Here is a 15385-nt window from a genome sequence, read left to right as displayed (position 1 = left end):
CAATCACCGGAAAATTTTTATGTTTTTAGTAGAGACGGGGTTTCACCATGTTGGCCAGGCTGGTCTCGAACTCCTGACCTCAGGTGATCCAGCTGCCTCGGCCTCCCAAAGTGTTGGGATTACAGGCGTGAGCCAGCACGCATGGCCTGGTTGGGGTGTTTTCTGTAAGCATTAGTGAGTTATAAACAAACACATTCCCCGAGAAATGGCTGTAATACCACGAATGGGTTCAACTCTACTGAGATGGATTAAAAACAGCAGCGTGGGCGGACGCTGTGCCTCGCATCCATCTGAGCAGACGTTTTGCTCTATGGACACGAGATTAAGGCGGTCAACAACTCGGGGTTTAAAAATATTCAGAACCAAGTTTTATTTTGTAGTCGTTACACAGGAGGGGGCAGTCAGAAGAGTACAGCTCACCCCCAGCAGTGGAGGGGTTAAATCTCAGGGACAACGTGGGGCAGTGGGGACAGCACCTCCGACCCTATGGGGTGTACCTTCAAGTAGCAAGGCTGACAATGATGTCTAGAAAGGTCTCCACTTCTGCCTGAGTTTTGCCAAACCCAGTGGTCTATAGGGATGTGGCAAAAGAATGACCTACCGCAGTGTGATTATCAGTGTTTTTTAAAATAAAGAGCACGGTTTTGCCTTTAAAATAATTCACATCAACGGTATTTGGGAGAACATGGAGCTGGCATAACATTGGCGTAGAAAGCAGGGCCAGGCCCACCCACGGGGCCCTCGTGTGGGGACGGGTGCCTGAGGCCCTGAGCCCCTCGAGCCTCTGGCCACGGCTGGCTGCCTGTGTGCTGTTGTCTCGTCTGTCCCACCCCGAGAAGGGAGTTGAACAATGTGAGTTGTCTGTGGCATTGGAAAGTGCAGTGGTTACATGGGTGTGTGCGAAGTGGTTAGCTGTGCCTTCAGGCGGTGCGTCTAGCAGGGCTGATGGGGGCCAGGGCTGCTCCTGGCTTTCTGTGGGCAGGGCTTGCCCTCCAGGGACCCCGAGTGCTTGCACCCGCTCGGTGACAGTGGCTGGCAGGTCTAAGTGCTGCTGCTGGATGCAAATTCCTTTGGTAGACTTTTTTTTTTTTAAGAAAAAAATAAAACCAATTTTTGGGTTGGCACCTGAGGTAATAAGTTAAGAATAAGCACCAAAATGGCCCTTCCTGGCACGCGCCGGCTCACAGGTTCTTCATGCACACCTGGCAGCGGCTGATGTGTGTGCGGATGAGGCCGGCCTTGAGCGTGTCGGCGGAGGGCGAGCCCTGGAAGCTCTGCTCGGGAATGGTGGTCAGCCAGAAGCTGTACTTGTTGGCGTAGTAGTGGCAGGTGCCGCGGCCTCCATTGCATTCGATGAATGGTGTGGCGCGGAAGTCCTCTAGACAGCTGCCCGGTGACACCAGTGATTGGCCACCGCCTTCGTCTCCCGCCGCCGTGTGCTGCACAGAGAGGGGGGCAGGACAGGGTTAGGAATCACAGCCTGCAGGTGGCACGGGGTCAGGGCATAGCCCTCTTCTGTGCATTTGTTTTTACTGAACAGCAAACCATGAGTGTCAATACGGACATGAGGCATCCTCGCGAATGCGCCTTCAGCAAGAGGGGGCTGGTGAAATACACATGGGCCCCCTGCAGGAGGCAGCCCCAGGCACCAGGACGTGCTGCAGAGGCAGCTGCATGGACACTAATTCACAGCCAGGCTGGCCGTTCGGTAAGAACTAGAGCCGTGACAGCAGATACGAGCGGTAGATATAATCCACTGCATTTCAGTAACAAAACAAAACATCTGCCTAATCATCCATTCAAAGAAAAATACCTGGCAGAAGAGATAACACAATGTTTACTCTTTTTAGAAGAAAAAAATAAAATTAAGATGTAGGCTGGCATCTGAGGCTAATAAGTTAAAAATAATCACCCAGCCAGGCCTCCCAGCTCCTTCTCTGAAAATGCTGATGATCAGGGAGGAAAGATGAGTGGTTTTATTTTTTTTTTTAAATCTGTACTTGCTGATTTTTCACAATAAATATGTATTACTTGTGTAATTAAATATATATTTTTTCAATCAGAGGTTGTTAAATAGTTGATTCTGAGGCTGGCTGGGAGATGGCTGAGGTCTTCAAGGAAGCCTTTTTTTTTTTTTCATTTTAAAGTTCTACTTTCTGTTGCATCAACATGTTTAGCCTTTATGGAAGCGCACGGCAGGCCTCCTGGATCCCAGAGTTGGTGTATAAGGGCCATTTGGCTTGGCTGAGCAGGCTTTGAGTGGTAAGTGGGCTTTGGAATCTGTTTACTTAGAATAGAAATATCTCAGTTCAGTTTGCAGGGAAAAAAGGGGCTGTTCTATGATATATTTGGGCAGGGGCCCCAGTTTAAGCTTTCCTTTAAATACAAAAAAAAACCCAAAAACCTTTAAAAAGTGTTCTGCTCACATAAGGCAGAAGCCTGTCCAGCCCTGAGCTGCCTGCTCTTGTCTGCTAATGAGCAGGTAATAAGAAGTGGAGACGTCCTCCAGGGCACCTCCGGCTTCACTTTGGTCTGAAGGAGCTGAGGCCATGCTGGGAGCTGCCCAAAGGAGACACCTGGGACTCCCAGAACGAGGTCAGAAGGGAGCACAATGTGAGAAGTCTTAGAGGCTGGCACCAGCCAGGTAAGAGCTGAGTTTGCTGCGCACACACACATGCATACATGCACACATGCACACACATGGTGTACACTCATGCACACACACAAATGCACGCATGTACACACACACACACACAGTGCATGCTTGTGTACACACCCCTATGCACACACGTGCATAAGTGCACACAGTCCAGGCACACGCACCCTTTCCAATGTGCTTCTCTCAGTGGACAAACCTCTGGCTTGGTACTCATAGCAGCTCATGTATCTTAAGAGAATTGCCTGGACGAGAGGCTGACCTGGAGAAGGGGCTGTGAGGGCTCCAGATAGTAGCCAGAATTGAAAAAAGAGGAACTAAAATAACGGCTGGCTAGATACTTGTAGCCTCTGCCAGAGCAGCTTTGAGAGAGGCCACCGAGGGGAGGGGAGGAAAATGACTTTTGCTGCTGCAGTCTGCATCCGGGGCTCTGCCCTTGTCCTCCCTCCCACGTGGCGCTCGCTTGTAGGGAATGCAGAAAATGCATCCTCTGGGGCCACCCATCCTCACGGACAAAAGAAGGGTGAGCCAGGCGCTAGCCTCAGCACTGCTCTCGCCTTCTGCGTACCCACTGGGGACGGTGGGGCAGTTGCTCTCAGCCAAGCTGTCCTCTCCTCTCCAAAGTCAGCTCTTATTATGCTGAGATGCCAGCAGCCCTAGTGGTACCATATGCTTGTCACCACACAGAAGGGATCAAAGAGTATTTAAAGTGCAGACGAGGCACACAGCTGTCTTGGTTTAGGTCCTGCCTCCTAGACGGCAGTCAGGGCACATCTGGAGGGGGCACATCTCCAGTACACAGATGTGTCTGCTCACTTATCCATTGTCAGGGACAATGGGGACTTTCTGTTCTCAGAAGTCAAGGTACTTCTGGCCCATCTGTCCTGACCCAGGAGCCGTCTCAACCCATGCCTTTTGGGGATGTCAAGTTCCAGGCTTGCTGGGGCTGTCAGCCATTTATGTAAGCAGAGAGTTACGTGTGCAGAGGATAATGTCTGCTTATCTCGTGACAGTCATTTGAAACCTGATGCTAATGGAACAGGGGATGCCTGACCTTTCTGGATACTGTGTAATCATGCCCTTCACAAGGGAGAGGCTCATTTATTTTGAATTTAACAACGGGAGTGAAAAAAACAGGAGCAACCAAAGCTTACTTCCTGACACAGGGGCACCCTGAAGGTCACTGTGAAACAAAAGAAGGTTGCTCCAAAGTCACCTTCCATGATAAGCTTCTGGAAAGGTAGAAATTGTGCCTGTCCCTGCCCAGGATTTAGCATCCTGTTGCTCCAACTTATCATAGCAACGATACCTATTAAAATGCCAATACTTGTTTATCTTTTCCTTCCTTTCCTAGAATCCGGATTTTTTTTCCTGTTGTTTTGAAAGATTAGCAATCACTATGTAATTTATATTTTATGTTGTGTGTGTGTGTGTGTGTGTGTGTGTATATATATATATATATATATATATAATTTATGAAATATTTAACATGCTGGGCATCCAATCCATATAGCTGGAGTTATGACAGTTATAATGCATATAAATAAACTCACTGGAAGACCCACTGTCCTCAGTGAGACTTTCTTTTCTCCCTACAATAGTATACAGATGGTCCCTGATTTACCATGGTTAGACTTAGGATTTTTGAGTTTTCGATGGTGCAAAAGCAATATGTATTCAATTCACTATTTGATTTTTGGTGGGGTTACATCCAGATAAACCCATCATAAATTGAAAACGCACTTTCAACTTATAGTATCTTCATCTTACAATGAATTTATCGGGACGGGACCCTATTCCAAGTTGAGGAGCCTCTGCTTTAATAGGCAATATTGCAAGAGACACTATGGTGCTGTGGTCTCTCCCCTGGAGGTTAAGCTAAACCTAATCTGGCCAAAGCTGAGGGTTCTCTATTTTATACCCAAAGGCGATCCGGAAGGGTGGGCGGTGCCTTCCCAGGTCCTGGTTGTGCACCTTCTCCTGGCTTTCAAAGTATCCACAGGCTCTCTATTTTATACCCAAAGGTATTCCAGAATTTTCCTCACGAATATATATCCATTTTAAGCCAGCCAGTTAATAGGTATTTCTTCAGGGTATTCTAGGTTCCAGATAGATTCTAAATAAGATCAGGATTCTAGAGAAAAGTCTCCCATATATTTAGACTTCTGGTAAACCCAAAGCAGCTGCACCTTTGGTGTTGGTGTTGTACCTAGTAAGACGGATAACAGGCAAGTTCGTCCTGGTTACACTCCTTACAAAGGCCTGGTGGCAAATTAATGAGCCCTTTCTGGGTGGAGGAAGCCCTGTGCCCAGCATGTGGCTCAGTTAGCCAAGTGTAAGCTGTGTTCCAGCTCTCGCTCGCTTCCTGGGCCAACTACCCTTGTGCAGTGCACACCCTGGACTGCCGTGTCTGATTCTTCTCACAAAGGCAGCTGTTCTTGCTGTGTCCCCAGCAGGGTGTGGTTGGGGAGGGGAACTGGGCAAATACCACATACCATGAGGAAGGAATATCCGATCCACAAACTCCGCCACCCAGCTGGGCAGTGTGGGATGGAGACATCCTGACTGTGGACCGCGATGGCGATGGCCGGGGCCTCACACACAGAACAGCGGCTGATGTAGGGCTTGATCTCGTCCTCGGCCACGGGCATCATGGGCAGCGGCGCAGTGGTAGAGAGCCAGTAGGACTTGTCGTTCCGGCTGGCATAGTAGCAGACATCACCAGGGTTGCAGTACAGGAAGGGCATGGTGCTGAACCGCGCCAGGCAGGAGCCCGCCAGCCCTGTGGAAGGAGGGGTCATGAGATCACAGTGCAGTGTGGCTAGAAGACGCACCTGCCAGCCCCAGCCAGGCCCAGGAGGCTGTGTGTCACGGACTCGCCCCAGGGCACCTGGTGGAGTTTAGCCACCTACTGGAGGGCCAGGCTAAGGCTTCCCAATTTCTTTCTTTTTCTCTTTTTGATCAGACTCCACTGGCATTTTGGAACAGCTCTGTTCTTCTACAAGTTCTCACACATACTGGGCCAAGTTGGATCACCAGGGAGTGGCGTCTTCATGGAATAGCATTTTGGGTGAGCCTTACCTTAGTGGGGTCTTAACAGCACTGGCCCCAAGAAAACTCTGATGGCCTCCAAGGGGTCGCTCTTTGACCCCAAGGAGCCACCCCAGAAGGAGTCCTGGCCCTTCTCCCTTCCATGTAGCTTTATTGCTTCTGGAGACTAAGATAGCCTTTATCTCCTGGCCACAACGAATGCTGCAGCTAAGCAGGTTTCCCTCTTCACATGGATTGCTGAAAAGCTCAGACCCAGAAGTGCAGCCACCTTTAGCAAACATGCCCGGTGCTAGGCTGCCTCCTTGGCCCTGTTCCTAGATCTATTTTTGGCCCTTATCCTTGGCGGCCTTTGCCCCGTTGTTCTTTAGAAACTCATTGTGGAGGCGGGGCGCACAGGCAGGAATGTGAAGGCACCATGAGCCAGCAACATGCTTCCCGGGGGCAGAACGCCTGATGTAACCTGCACCGAGGAGGCAGAACACAGCCAGTATCCCAGAGACCCTTCCCGTCACCCCCTCAAAGAGGACCTCAGACTAAGCTACCTCCACTTGTAATTTGTGTGTATTGCATTTTCTGTATTCGAAGTCGCGTTAATGCCTTTCAAAGGCTTCCTTAAATAAGAGCATGCACACGTGTCCATGGGTCCATTTTCCTCGGGGGGCTGTATGGGAGAGTCTTACATGAACCCCAGCCCCTCATGGCCCCTGCCTGACTCCAAGTCTACAGAACTTGGGTCAAAAACAAGAAGGAGGTGAAGTAATTGGTGGTCTCCACTGGAGAGGGGTCGGGGGTCAGACGGGTCACATGGGAGCCTGCGGAAGTCAATACCAGGTTAAAAGGCAGGTCCCTGTGTTAAGGTCCTGAGGTTTAAGGGCTTTGTAAGGCTTCTGCTTCAAAGGCCGTTTTAATCTTTCTGCACTCGAGGAATGTAGATGGACCCTTCCGTCAGGGGAACTTACCAGCCGTGGAGGGTTTGGGAGTCTCGCTGTGGCCCTTTGATCTTGGCCACTTCCGGGCCAGCCCTGAGCAGGCAACGGGGGCCGGGTGGGAGGTACCTACCCAGGTCCTGGTTGTGCGCCTTCTCCTGGCCCTCGAAGTACAGCAGGCTGTATCCACTCCAGAGTTTGTTCATGCCCACTGGGCACATGGGCTCCTGGTCCGTCTGGCTGTGCTTCACCAGGAGGTAGCCGATGCTGACGCTGCGGCCTGGCATACCCGGCAGGCCCGGGCTCCCTGGACGGCCTGGTGCACCTGCAGCCCGAGAAAGAGAGAGAGTGGACGGCCTGGTGCACCTGCAGCCCGAGAAAGAGAGAGAGTGGACGGCCTGGTGCACCTACAGCCTGAGAGAGAGAGAGAGAGTGGACGGCCTGGTGCACCTGCAGCCCGAGAGAGAGAGAGAGAGAGAGAGTGGACGGCCTGGTGTACCTGCAGCCCGAGAGAGAGAGTGAGTGGACGGCCTGGTGCACCTGCAGCCTGAGAGAGAGAGAGAGTGGACGGCCTAGTGCACCTGCAGCCTGAGAAAGAGAGAGAGAGCAGCCCCCTTGACAGCCGCCCCACAGAAACCTCGGGACCCAGGAGTGCAGGGCAGTTTCCAGGTGCGCCTAGAACCATCGCTCTCCTTCCCCAGATCTTGGGGCTCAGTCTGTTGAGATCAGGAGACTCTTGGGAAGGATTTGATCCACACTTTGTTCTCAGTAGCATGAAATGATGGCAGTGAGGGCACTGGGCACAGAGGAGGGGTCCTTTCCATAAAAGACTCAGTCAGCCATAGGTAGGCATGTGCCCCTCAGGATGTGCCCAACGTGCCTGGCGTTGGAAGTGTCCGGAGGAGTATCGCAGGCCAGCCCCCACCCCCAGCAGTGGCCTCCCTCCGCTGGACACTTCCAGGAGACATGGCTCATCGCAGGCCATGCTGACTGCGCACTTGACCACAGCCTGGGTTAGAATGTTCTTTCTGCGTGCAGCCTCCTGTAACTCCTACCCGAGGAGCACACGGGGGTGGCTCATCTGCCTCCAGCACAGCAGCTCTGTGAATATTTCTCAGCTATCCCCAGTGACCCTTTCTCCCATTGTCCCCTCCCCTTCCAAGGGACACCCATGGTCATGGCCCTTTCTCCCAGGACACTTCCCCTCCACCATCCCTAGCTTGTCTCCTACCCTGGGCGGGCTCCCATTTGCTGGCATTTGTTTTCAGGTGCACCCCACACTACCCATAATTTGCCGGCTGCGGATCTGTCCCCAGGGGCAGGGGACTGCTATTTCCTTTGACTTGGACACCAATAGTACTACCCATGTTTAATTTTCTTTTTTTTTTTTGAGACGGAGTCTCGCTCTGTCCCCCAGGCTGGAGTGCAGTGGCGCGATCTTGGCTCATTGCAACCTCCACCTCCTGGGTTGAGGCCATTCTCCTGCCTCAGCCTCCCGAGTAGCTGGGACTACTGGCGCCCGCCACCACGCCCGGCTAATTTTTTGTATTTTTAGTAGAGACGGGGTTTCACCGTGTTAGCCAGGATGGTCTCGATCTCCTGCCCTTGTGATCCGCCCACCTCAGCCTCCCAAAGTGCTGGGATTACAGGCGTGAGCCACCGCGCCCGGCCCCTATGTTTAATTTTAATTTTAATTTTAATGCTCAGACCATTGGCTCAAACTGAGCTCAGGTTGATTAAGACAAATTTTGAGGTTTTTTTTTTTCATGAATAGCTGTTATTCCTGGCCTATTTCATTCTGTATATGTGCAAATAATTTTAAAAAATAAGACGACCAGGCACGGTGACTTACACCTGTAATCCCAGCACTTTGGGAGGCCAAGGCTGGCGGATCGCTCGAGGTCAGGAGTTCGAGACCAGCCTGGCCAACATGGTGAAACCCCGTCTCTACTACAAATACAAAAAAGTTAGCTGGGTATGGGGGCACATGCCTGTAGTCCCAACTACTTGGGAGGCTAAGACAGGAGAATCGCTTGAACCCGGGAGGCAGAAGCTGCAGTGAGCTGAGATTGCGCCACTGCACTCCAGCCTGGGTGAGACAGAGCGAGACTCTGTCCAAAAAAGAAAAAAAAGTAAGACAGGGCTTCGCAGTGCGGCTCTTGTACATTTTAATAGTCGGTTTCTTTTGGCTCCTTGTCTAATCCTGACCCTTGAAGTCTACTGATCCCTGCCGCCCACTCCACAGCACCGCAGGTGTCCCAGGAAAAGGAGGGAGGCTGTCCCAGGACTCGGGGCCAGGTGTTCTGCTGGGCATAGGAGTGTAGCTGCTACGCCCAGATTAGGAGCAGGAGGGTGGGGCAGCGCCTCATTTCTGGCTTTTCTGGGCTCTCGTGTGTCCCCTTCCTGCAGACCACAGTCTGTGAGTCAGATCCAGAGCACTAGGACCTGGGAAGGTCCTTCCCCACTGTCACTCACCTTCTTGGCCAATCGGCCCCTGGTGGCCTATGGGTCCTTCATCTCCCCGGAAGCCGGGAACAGCAGACACACCACCTCTTCCTTGGGGCCCAGCTTTCCCTGGAGCCCCACGGAAACCTGCAAGCCACCAAAGAAGCGTTATGGCTGGAAACTGACCACGCCTGGCACGGCCGGCGATCCACAAAGAGAACACAAGAGGACGCAATGCCAGCAGGCCCTGGCCTTGCCCGGGCAGCCCCGAGGGGCTCCAGGCCCCAGCTCAGCACTCTACCTGGTTCTCCGGGGGGGCCCTGGGGCCCCATCTCCCCCGGTGCCCCAGGGGGGCCTCGCCTCCCCTGGGGACCCACTGTCCCTGGTTGGACGGCAATCTTCTGGGGGATTCCTGCAATCCCGGGGGCTCCCACAGTCCCGGGGGCACCTGGAAGGGAAACAGAGAGGCCCCAGTAAACACACAAGGTCGTTCCACTCTCTTGCTCCGAGTGCTACTGCGTTTCTCACCAGGGAGGCTTCTTTTGGAGCTTCCCAGACAACTGTGCTTTCTAGAGATGAGCCAGACACTAACGGGCCTGAGCCGTGACTCAGCGCCTGCCGTTTGAATATTAAGCTCTCCATTCCCCAAGGTCCTGTGACAACATCCGAGGCACAGCCTTGGTTTCCTCCCTGCTCTTTACAACATGTGACCCATGCCAGAGAGGATCCTGGCCGTTTGACCTCCAGGATGTCCCCAAGCCTGGAGAGGCTGGGCTGAGCCACTAGCTCTGAAGATACCAGACGGTCACTTACCAGGGAATCCTGGGTCTCCCTTGGGTCCCTTGGGGCCTCTGTCGCCCACCGCCCCAGTGGGTCCAGTGTTCCCCATGAAGCCTTGTTCACCCCTGGGCCCTGCAACACAAACAAGACGTTAGGGACACGAAAGTCTGTGGGGAGGGGGCTCCTCTCACTGTGGCCAGGGCTGCTGGCCCATGGCCATGGGCACTGTTACCTTTTTCTCCTGGGAGACCAAACACACCAGGCCTGCCCTGGGGCCCGGAGTCCCCGGCCCATCCTTTGGTCCCTGGGGTTCCTGGAGCTCCTGGGTTCCCTGTGTCACCTTTGCTTCCAGGAAGAGCAGCAGAACCTGGTGGCCCTGGTGGGCCCCGATAACCTGTTGGCATTAGGGACAAGAAAGGAGGGTTTAAACAGGGCCCCAAGGCCCCTGGGGGCAGTCAGGTGCACCGTCACCCATTCAGGCGACAGTCTCTGGCAAGTCTGTGGCATGGAATGACTTTGTCTATGTTTTTAAAAAATTGTCGTAAAATACGTAGAACATAAAAGTTACCATTTTAATCATTTTTAGGTGCACTGCTCAGTGGCATTCAATATATTCACCTTCACCGCCGACCAGCTCCAGAACTTTCTCATCCTAAACTGAAATCTGTCCCCGTTATACACGCACTCCCCGTGTCCCTCTCCCCCCAACCCTCAGCAACAGCCATTGTACTTTCTGTTTCTATGAATTTGATGACTTCAGGGGCCTCGTATGTGTGGAATCACAGAATCCGACCTTTTGTGACTGGCTTCTTTCACTCAGCAGAATGCCCTCAAGGGTCATCTAGGTGGTAGCAGGTGATAAGAGTTCCTTCTTTTTAAGACCGAATAAAGGCTGGGCAAGGTGGCTTACACCTGTCGTCTCAGCACTTTGGGAAGCCGAGGTGGGAGGATTGCTTGAGGTCAAGAGTTTGAGACCAGCCTGGCCAACATGGTGAAACCCTGTCTCTACTAAAAATACAAAAATCATCTGGGCTTGGTGGTGGACACCTGTAATCCCAGCTACTCAGGAGGCTGAGGCACAAAAATTCCTTGAACCCGGGAGGCGGAGATTGCAGCGAGCTAAGATCGTGCCACTGCACTCCAGCCTGGGCGACAGAGCAAGGCTGTCTCAAAAAACAAAAAACAAGAAAACAACCCAACAAAAAAGACGGACTCCTCTTGTACTGGGTGGATACTGACTGCATTTTGCTTCTTAATTCCTCTGTTGATGGACACTCGGGTTGCTTTCAGCACTCGGTGCTTGTGAGTAGTGCTGCTGTGAACCTTGACGCACAAACACTTGTTTGACGGGTGACTTCATCTTTACGCCATCTCTTTCCAATATTCAGCTCGTTCGTGATTAGGAAGTGCAAATTAAATTTAATACTTGTCTAAACACAATACAGTGAGGAAGAAGAAAGCCGTTCATACTGCACATTTCTGAGCCCCCTGCAGTTTGAATATCTGCTATTACAGCAAGTAAATGACATGGCCTGTGTCTCAGCTTCCCAGGGACCAGGTCGTGCAGGTGATGGAAATGACACAGGAGGAGCCATCATGGCTCCTGCCTCTTTGACCGGAGTCTGGGCACAGCGTGGAAATGAACGTCTGTTCTCCCCCTACATTAAGCGGGCCATTGCCAGCTCCTGCCCCTAGAGATGTCGAAGCACAGATGTATAAGTCCTGCTTACCTTTCAGGCCAAATATCCCTGGCGCCCCTTTGTCACCAGGTGCCCCAGAGATGTTGGAAGGGGGTGTGATACCAGGGAACCCCTGAAGTCCTGGGCTCCCAGGTGGGCCTCGTTCCCCTTAGGATGAAAACAGAAGAAATTATTTTCAGCGTTAGCACCCAACTTTTCAAATCTACTATTTTCCCTCCACACCATCACCTGTGGTGGACCAGAGCCTAGCGAGCGAGACAGTGATGGGAGGTGCCCTCAGGCCAAGGAACATCTCATGGTGGGGCTGGGGAGGCCCTCAGGGCGGGGTTGGGGGGGCAGGGGCTATGTGAACCCCTCCCCCACCCCAGCCTTTCTCCTGTGAGGAGCCCTCCACTGGGATCCTGTCTGCCTGTGCTCGACTTCCCCAAGGCGCTGCCCGATCATGCTTAGATGGAGCCTCAGCACCAGGCGAGGCACAGCTGGTCAGACTCTGATCCTGATATGTGTGGACAGTGGTCAGCACAGGTGATGGACAGAAGGTTGAAAAATTGCAAATGAGGCTTACAATTGACATCACTATTGTCAACCCTCCCTGCGGCTGTCCTCCAGTGCCTCGGATCCCAGCTTGGATAGAGTTGGTCTTCATTATTCACAGATTCTGTGTTTCCCAATTTGTCCACTCACTAAAACTCACTTGGAATCCCCCCCAAATCAACACTGGCATTCACAGATATACACAGAGGCAAAATGAGTCCCAGCTGAGATCCAGCAAGGTGACGCTCCTGCCTTCTTGCTGCAGCTCATACTGTACACACGTGTCCTTGTCTTGGTCTCTGTAGTGCCCTGTTTTCCACATTTTTGTGCTTTATGCTGGTGATTTTGCTGTTTCAAATGCCCCCCATGTATTGTGTTGAAGTGCATCCTACTGTTGGTAAGTGCAAGAAGGCTGTGAAGTCCCTTATGGAGAAACACATATGTAAGAGAAGCTGCATTCAGGCACGAGTGAGTGCATGTTGACTGTTCCTGAATCAGCAATCCACACTAAACAAGGTGCCGTTACACAGAAAACCAGCTTATATACTGATCATTGACAAACATCTTGTGAGCAGAGGCTTGCAGGAACTTAGCCTTGTATTTCCCCTAGGAGCAATGGTTCAGTATTCACTAAGTCAGTGTTCTTGGTGACTTCAGAACATAACTACTGCGAATAATGAGAACCAACAGTTTTTGGGTCAAAGGCTGGAGCTCTTTGGCACTAGTAGGAGAGTAAGAGGGAAATGGCCACATAAGGAAATCTGTGGAAATTCCACTCCTCCCTGTGCTGTCAGCCAACAAGACACTAATGGAGCTTTATGTGCTGTAGGGCAGTGGTGGGTAGAAATCAGTGTGGACTTGAGTGGGCGGATTAAGTCTACTTTCTCTCCTAAGCACCTTCAGCCTTTTGTTTTACCTCGGGCTGGGGACCAAGATTAGTATTAGAACCCTGCAAAATGTCAGAATGTCCAAGTGGGCAAGGAGGGCATCACTTCTGCTCTGCAGGAAATAGTGAGCTGGGCGAAACAGTGCAAATCTATAAAAATGAGAAAAGGTAGCAACAGTGGTTTTCTGTTTCCCCTCTGGCTTTATGACTAATCTACACGCATCAGCAGCAGGAAGAGATTTTCCCTTTGGAAGATCCTGGTATCCATTATCCATCCCAGGGGAAAGGATTCCATTCATGCGTGCTTCCAAGTAGGACAAAACAAACAGCAGGATAAATATTTAGAGAGGTGAGGCTTGTCTCACAAATCACAGACAACATGCAAGTGGGTTCATTAGCCCTGAGGGCATGAGTGAGCCACCATCTGTAGTTTGATATAAAATGACACCAATTGAACTGCTTCTAGCTATTGTCACAAAGTACCCGAAACAGATGGTGAGTGTCAGTAAATAATGGCAGACTCCTGAGTTAGATGATCCAGTGCAATCCGCAGACTGGCAGATTCCCACGAAAACATAATTAACTTAACTGCAGTGATGAGGACTGTTAATGAGAACACTTAGCAAACATGAGTCAGTTTGCTGGAATCTAGACGGAAACCGCTATGATTTCTCAGTAGCCCCCATGGATCGTCCTAAGTACTGACATAAAAGAGTCTCACTAACAGGGGTTCCGTGAAGGCCCATGTTGCATGACTCAAGGCCAAATCAGGAACTGATGCTCGAATGTCAGCTGCAGAAATAGGTGAGGTTGCAGACTCTAGCTTCAGTGAGCTGTGATACGGTTTGGCTGTGTCCCCACCCAAATCTCGACTTGTAGTTCCCAAAGTCCCTACATGTCGTAGGAGGGACCTGGTGGGAAGTAATTGAATCACGGGGGTGGCTATCCTCATGCTGTTCTCGTGATAGTGAGTTCCCAGGAGATCTGATAGTTTTATAAGGGGCCTCCCCCCACCCTTTACTCAGCACTTCTCTCTCCTGCCGCCAGTGAAGAAGGATGTGTTTGCTTCCCCTTCCGCCATGATTGTAAGTTTCCTGAGGCCTCCCCAGCCATGCAGAACTGTGAATCAATTAAACCTCTTTCCTTTATAAATTACCCAGTCTCTGGTATTTCTTCATAGCAGCATGAGAACGAACTAATACAAATGAGATGCAACTCATGCGAAGGAAGATGACGGATTCAAATTATTCCCATATTTTGAGAGAAGAGTGTGTGTCCTGAATGACATTATGATCAGTGTGTGAACGTCATCATGGAAGGTCGTCTTTCCCTCATCACTAGCCAGAGGCAGTGGCCTCATATGCCAAGGCCCAATGGCACTGGGCAGTGTCTGCCCTGGCCTCCAGGACCTGCTCTGAAGTCATCAGCTCATGGGCCCACTGTGACGTTCATGCAGGTCGAGGGTGGGGGCATGGCTTGCAAAAGTCAGCATGCCGCACGGTGGCTTGGAAGCCGGGGACACCGTCCAGGTCCCTGGGATGGAATGCAAGGAGGGCCACAGGAGGTCACGGAGAGTTTTGATAAATGGGTCCCACACAGATCAAATGTGTAATAAGGCCATCAATGTTACCTTAGGGGTGTTCTGAGCTACACGTAACTCTCCACTGATGTCAGAAAATTATCCTACAATTTCACAATATTCTTCTCCAGCAAGTATTTGTTGAGCACTTACTCAGGGACAAGCATTTTGCTGAGGTATTAAGTGGAAAATAAATGAGATAAATCTCTGTCCTTGGGGATGGAAATCTTAAATCTTTTTTGTGGTCAAGTACAGGGCCTGAACATCATGCTGTGTGAATCAAACGTTAACAATGCATGGTCATACAAAATGCTAGCAGCTGTGTTCTGTGACCCCCCTCTATGGGCCACTGTGTGCACCCTGTCGAAATCCCATCTCAGTTTCCTCCGCCCCTCCCTGTGCGGGATCTCCTCTCCACATCTCCTGGCCAAGTCTTCCCCGTTGCTGCATTCCCAGATGCCTTTCAGGTGACAGACTGGTAAACTGATCATCATGACACTCTGAAAACAACGCTATGTTTCAAGGCCTTTAAAGATAGCAAACATTTATTGCTGGCCTCCTGTGTGCAAGAGCTTTACCTGTAGTATCTCATTGTATCCTCCCAATACTCACAAGTGCATTTTTATTTTCATTTGACAGACAAAGCCAGAGACATTCAATACCATGGCCAAGGTCACATGGTGAAAATATGGTGCACGTGAGACGCAGAACAAGAACCCAACAGGTGTCTGATTTAAAGGTCACGGGCATGGTCAACTCTACTGCTGGGCTCCTGGGAGGATTATGCTGGTGGACTGACCCCAGATCCTCACCCCTGACTGAGGCTGT

General features: G+C 51.3%; 1 protein-coding gene and 1 long non-coding RNA gene across 2 annotated transcripts in view, besides 5 other annotated features; one reads left to right on the top strand and one right to left on the bottom strand.

Moving 5' to 3' along the window:
- COL4A2 (collagen type IV alpha 2 chain) overlaps positions 164-15385 on the bottom strand; it is a 205926-nt gene continuing 190704 nt past the window's right edge. Inside the window, exons 41-48 of the mRNA NM_001846.4 lie at positions 11589-11705; positions 10091-10252; positions 9892-9990; positions 9380-9526; positions 9109-9225; positions 6767-6958; positions 5152-5438; positions 164-1439 (exon numbers count right to left, since the gene is read on the bottom strand). Of these exons, the coding sequence (NP_001837.2) occupies positions 1182-1439; positions 5152-5438; positions 6767-6958; positions 9109-9225; positions 9380-9526; positions 9892-9990; positions 10091-10252; positions 11589-11705 (1379 nt within the window). The 3' untranslated portion in view covers positions 164-1181. The remainder of the gene's footprint in view (positions 1440-5151; positions 5439-6766; positions 6959-9108; positions 9226-9379; positions 9527-9891; positions 9991-10090; positions 10253-11588; positions 11706-15385) is intronic.
- Positions 829-1457: an enhancer, noted in NCBI's record as "H3K27ac-H3K4me1 hESC enhancer chr13:111164263-111164891 (GRCh37/hg19 assembly coordinates)". NCBI's record gives its function as "activates a minimal SCP1, AML or CMV promoter by ChIP-STARR-seq in naive H9 embryonic stem cells {active_cell/tissue: H9 hESC(naive)}" and the evidence as "EXISTENCE:reporter gene assay evidence [ECO:0000049][PMID:30033119]".
- Positions 4772-5271: an enhancer, noted in NCBI's record as "H3K4me1 hESC enhancer chr13:111160449-111160948 (GRCh37/hg19 assembly coordinates)". NCBI's record gives its function as "activates a minimal SCP1, AML or CMV promoter by ChIP-STARR-seq in primed H9 embryonic stem cells {active_cell/tissue: H9 hESC(primed)}" and the evidence as "EXISTENCE:reporter gene assay evidence [ECO:0000049][PMID:30033119]".
- On the top strand, positions 5194-10797 carry COL4A2-AS1 (COL4A2 antisense RNA 1). Its single transcript, NR_046583.1, has 3 exons — positions 5194-5274; positions 5622-5726; positions 10445-10797. It is a non-coding gene; the product is annotated as a COL4A2 antisense RNA 1 (long non-coding RNA).
- Positions 5272-5773: an enhancer, noted in NCBI's record as "H3K4me1 hESC enhancer chr13:111159947-111160448 (GRCh37/hg19 assembly coordinates)". NCBI's record gives its function as "activates a minimal SCP1, AML or CMV promoter by ChIP-STARR-seq in primed H9 embryonic stem cells {active_cell/tissue: H9 hESC(primed)}" and the evidence as "EXISTENCE:reporter gene assay evidence [ECO:0000049][PMID:30033119]".
- Positions 9596-10525: an enhancer, noted in NCBI's record as "H3K27ac-H3K4me1 hESC enhancer chr13:111155195-111156124 (GRCh37/hg19 assembly coordinates)". NCBI's record gives its function as "activates a minimal SCP1, AML or CMV promoter by ChIP-STARR-seq in primed H9 embryonic stem cells {active_cell/tissue: H9 hESC(primed)}" and the evidence as "EXISTENCE:reporter gene assay evidence [ECO:0000049][PMID:30033119]".
- Positions 13928-14427: an enhancer, noted in NCBI's record as "H3K4me1 hESC enhancer chr13:111151293-111151792 (GRCh37/hg19 assembly coordinates)". NCBI's record gives its function as "activates a minimal SCP1, AML or CMV promoter by ChIP-STARR-seq in naive H9 embryonic stem cells {active_cell/tissue: H9 hESC(naive)}" and the evidence as "EXISTENCE:reporter gene assay evidence [ECO:0000049][PMID:30033119]".

This window comes from Homo sapiens, chromosome 13 (assembly GCF_000001405.40).
Source record: "Homo sapiens chromosome 13, GRCh38.p14 Primary Assembly".
NCBI lineage: Eukaryota > Metazoa > Chordata > Mammalia > Primates > Hominidae > Homo > Homo sapiens.
This window is presented reverse-complemented; position numbering and strand designations above follow the sequence as displayed.